We start from the raw sequence: 4842 nt of genomic DNA, 5'->3' as shown, positions 1-4842 counted from the left end.
CACTCGGAGATATACCCAATGTTACATGACGAGTTAATGGGTGCAGCACACCAACATGGCATATGTATATATATATATGTCACAAACCTGCACGTTGTGCACATGTACCCTAAAACTTAAAGTATAATTAAAAAAACAAAAAAGAAAGACCAGTCTTCAAGCTATTAAATTATTTATTCTGTTTGGTTGAGTCTGTTGATAAAGCTTTCAACTTTATTTTGAAATTCCTAAGTGAGTTTTTCCATTTCATTACCTCCAATTGATTTATTTTTAAGATGTTTATCTCTTCCTTTGTTTCCTGCATTGCTTTAGAATTTTCTTTGTGTTGTTTTTCAACATCATCTTAGATATTGTTGAACTTCCTTGAAATCCATGTTTTGAATTCTTAATCTGTCATTTCTGTTTTTCCATTTGGTTAGGGACCATTGCTGTAGAACTAGTGTGATACTTTGGTGGTGTGTCAACATTCAGATTTTTCATGGTGCCAGATCCTATACCAGTTTGTTCTCATCTAGAAAGGCTGGCACTTCTAATTATTGTAATTATTTTCATGAAAATAGACTTTTTTTCTCTTTTCCTATATATTCTTTCTTTCCCTTTAGGGTATGACTGGAAAGTATATTGGAAAAAGTCTTTTGGCTTTGTTTTTATAGCTCTGTGCACTTATGTTAGTAGGTTTTATATTGGGCTGTGCAGTTCAACCTACAGGCCAGCAGATAGGGCTTGCAGGTAAGATCCAGCTGCAGCACAAGCAGGTGGGTATAATTTTTGTTTACTGTGAAGGGCTCTTTGTTATTTCAGGTGACAGGATGGACAGTGGAGCACCCAGGGCCCTGAGCTTCCTGCTCCACAGGGGGAGGGGCACACCACTGGGCAGAACTGGAGTCCCTGGCTTGCCCATGAATACTCCAATGGCAAGCACAGGCACAAGCCCTGAAAAGGGTGGCTGACAGGAACTTCTGGTGAAGCACACTGAAGTCTCCGTGGGGAGACAAGGAAGCTGCACTGCTTCCTCATCTTAGGTAGGCAGGAAGTTGATCTGTTTCCCTATCATACCCTTGACCCAGAACTCATGACTCCTAGTTCAGAAGCACACTGTAGTCTGTCTCTTGACCACAATGTGGTTGACAGCCATGGGAAATGCATGTTTTGTGATACTCCATGGGAGTGTTTTCAGAGCATAATGTTGTCACTCAGCCTAAAACAGATAGCTTTATTGCTCACCTGTTCTCTAATGAGGCAATACAGCCACTTCTTATAAGTAGAGGGGCTACATCACCGGGGCTGTGTGAGTGGGTACTGGTTGTGGTGGTGTTGGTTGGTTAGGTCAGCCCAACTTCAGGCCATGAGGCAAGTAGTCAGGTGCCAGCAGAGTTGTAATGGGGTGGGGAGTTCCCCAGTTCCTACATGGCCCCCTGGACAGTGCGTATGAGTCCTAAAGGGGTTGGACAAGGGTCAGGCTAGCCCAGTTCAGGTGTTGGCTGTGATGGGAAGGGCTGGGCTGGGTCATGGGCCAAACTCTTAGGCAGTGGCAGACAGAATGCTTAGGGTGGTAAGAGCCTTAGGAAGTATTATAGGCCTGTGAGGGTTCAGTTTTTAGAAGGGCTCTGGGCTGTAGCTGAAATGTTCAGGCAGGGCAGGTGGCTGTGCTGTGGGCCTTTCACTGGGGAGGGCAGGGCCTCTCCGTGGTGGCAATGGAGACTGGTGGCTATGGGGGCACATGGCATGCTCACACTTCTCTCCCACCAAGTGATGCATATACAAATGAACATCACCCAGGCATATAGTCAGACTTAAAGGCTCCTAGAGAAAAAGGTCAAATCACGTACAAAGGGAAGCCCATCAGGCTAACAGTGGACTACTCATCAGAAACCTTACAAGCTGGAAGAGACTGGGGACCCATTTTCAGCATGCTATGTGCCCCCATAGCCACCAGTCTCCATTGCTGCCACTGGATTTTGTGGTTGGGGGTATGCAAAAGTGCCAAGCCTTGTCTGTTACTCTGGGAGTTTTGCTGCAGAGGAGTATAGGACCATGACTAACTGCACTGTTCAGGTGGGGGTGAGGCCACTGCTCGGGGAGCCCAGGCATGCAGGCCTTATCTGTTAAGTAGCAGCAGGGGATGGAGTCTGAATCCTGGCCACTCCTCAGCCATGCAGCAGCAGCAGTTATCCCAGGGGTGTGCAAAAGAGCCCAGGCCCCCTTTTGGCTGGCCTAAAGCAGCTGGCACTGGCTGTTAGGGATACAAGGCCTATGGGGCTCCAAGTGGACTTAACTGGTGCCTCTGCACAGGCTCTCTGTGTTGGTCTGGAGGCTCAAGGAGTCAGAGGGGCTCTCCTATGCCTAGTATTGCAAAGGTTCATGGCAGAAGTGTGAGTCCCCGGGAACTCTCACTCACTCTTTCTCTGCTTTAGGGAGCTTCCCCCAGCTCTGTGCCAGTCTCAGATGAATGGCTGCCCAGCTTTGCTCCTCTCTGCTCTCTGTGGGTCCTGTCAATTCCTTGGTAAATCCCAATATGATCTCTTTGACAATTCACTTGAAGAGCTAGTATTTAGTCACTGCTTTGTATCCTCTCCATAAGAGCAGTGCACACTAGCTGCTTCTAGTCAACCATTTTAAACCAAAATAAATAAGAATATTTTATCAAAATCTTGCGATTTGAGCATATATTTGAAGTTTAAATATTTTTCTTACTTTCTTTTTTCCTTTTTTTTTGGTAGAGATGAGGTCTTCCTGTGTTGCCCAGGCTGGCCTCAAACTCCCAGACTCAAGGGATCCTCCTACCTCAGCCTCCCAAAGCACAGGAATCACAGATGTGAGCCACCAATCCTGGCCTCATTTTTACTTATTTTTAATATATCATGATTCAGGATGAAATGTGTGTGTGTGTGTGTGTGTGTGTGTATACATATATATGTGTGTGTATATATATATAAAATAAATAGTATGGAAAATAGTATAGAGTTTAGGTCTGTCTCTGCAAACTTAGTCTACTTTATGTCAGGTGTTCACGTTTATCCCATCAACCTCATTATAACACACCCATTAATTACCATTAATCGTTGGACTAATCTCTCTTAGCCATCCCAGCCATTTGAATCACTCTCTTTCCTGGCTCTCTTAGAATCAATACTATAGTCACTAAGATCCTGACATAATGTCTTAAATGTATGTTAATCTGTGACACATTACCATCACAGCCATTTTAGATTTCTTATCCCTGTCTCTGGTTTTACCTGGGACATCCCTGGATCATCTTGTCTCCATATAGATTTTTCTGCCTTGGGCATCTCTACCTTGACACAGCTATTAGGAGAAGTGGCCAAAGATTAAACTAGGAAGTTCCTGTCTCCAAACCAGATGCTCTGAATGAGCATATCATCTTGTCCTCAAGATTGTAGATGTCCCAATGTTTCTGTCAGCCCCATCCTTCCTCACCCCACCATTATCTCTTCCTCCTCATCACCCCCTTCATGCTTCTTGGGTCCACAAGTTCCTCTTAGTTGCCATGCCTGAGTTTACTGTCCTTGGACGGACACAGGATCCACATCTTACTCACCCCGTCAACCATCCCAAGTGACAGCAGGTGACACCATCTGTATTCATCATTCACTACAAGTCACTGCAGAGCAACAAGGGACTAACCTCCAACAACTCTGACCTCAGGCCTGAGGACTCCCACACACGTGTATCTCAGCACCCTCACTTGGCTCAGACTTAGTTTCCTACTTATCTCTCAGCCCCACTACCTCATCAGCCTAAGGGTAGGGATAGTATCTTTACTCTTGAATATGCCTTGCCCAGCACAGAGTGTGCCATTGAAATGGGAGGAGTTCCCTTATCCCATTTGCAGGGCATGCAACAGGGGTGTGACTCGCTTCTTTGATGTCCTGCTGCTCGAACCGCTAGGGGGAGCATGCAAATGGGCAGGTCCTGGGAGCATTTTTGGGCTGTGACCCCATGGCAGTGTCTAGGGTTGAGTGTTTACAGCTCCCAAAGCCCCAGTAGGCATGTGTTACAGTGTGCTCTTTCAGCTTTGCGGTCTGCAGGCAGCTTGTGTTAATCAGCTCAGTTAGACCCTCTGACTTATCACAAGGACAGAGAGCTTTCTGTATCCCATATTCTGTAGGCTCTAGTGTACTGGAAAAATCAGATTACATGTGGGCTTGGAGAATGACTGCAAGGTTTTATTGAGTGGTGGAAGTAGCTCTCAGTGAGATGGATGGGGGGGCCAGCAAGGGGATGGGGTGGGAAGATAGGCTTCAGCTGGAGTCGGACCACCCAGTGGCCAGCTGGCCTCCAACTGCCCCCACTGAATTCCATGAGGTCCTGCTGTTGATGGCCTGCTGGCGTCTGCTGGTATCAGTCAGTGTGCTCTTCTGCTCCTCTCCACGTCCAGCCACTTGTGTCCATGCCCACTAGGGTCTTGAAGATTTTATGGGCCCAGGATGTGGGGCATGGTGGGTCAGAGTGGGCTTAGAAAATGCAACATTTGGGTGCAAAACCAGGAGTGCCTGTCCTCACTTAGGTCCATGGGCATAGGCCTGAGGGTGGAGCCCTCACCAGGGACCCCACTCTTCTCTACCCAGCACTTCCCTGCCCGCCTCTCGTATCACCATCATCTCAATATAAATTGTTTAAATAACGGATGATGATAACAAATGAAAAATAAAGAGCTAAAGACCTACAGAAAGATTGAGGCAGAAATATATGAATATCTTGGATATTGGAGTTTCTTGGATCCCTGCTCTCCTCATAACTCCTGACACCTGCCATGGAGATGCAGAGGGCTTGGGGCTACAGAAGGGAAGAAGCTGACTCCTAAACAAGACTCATCACTCC

This window comes from Homo sapiens, chromosome 1 (genome assembly GCF_000001405.40).
Source record: "Homo sapiens chromosome 1, GRCh38.p14 Primary Assembly".
NCBI classification, from domain to species: domain Eukaryota; kingdom Metazoa; phylum Chordata; class Mammalia; order Primates; family Hominidae; genus Homo; species Homo sapiens.
Note: the sequence above shows the minus strand (reverse complement) of the source record.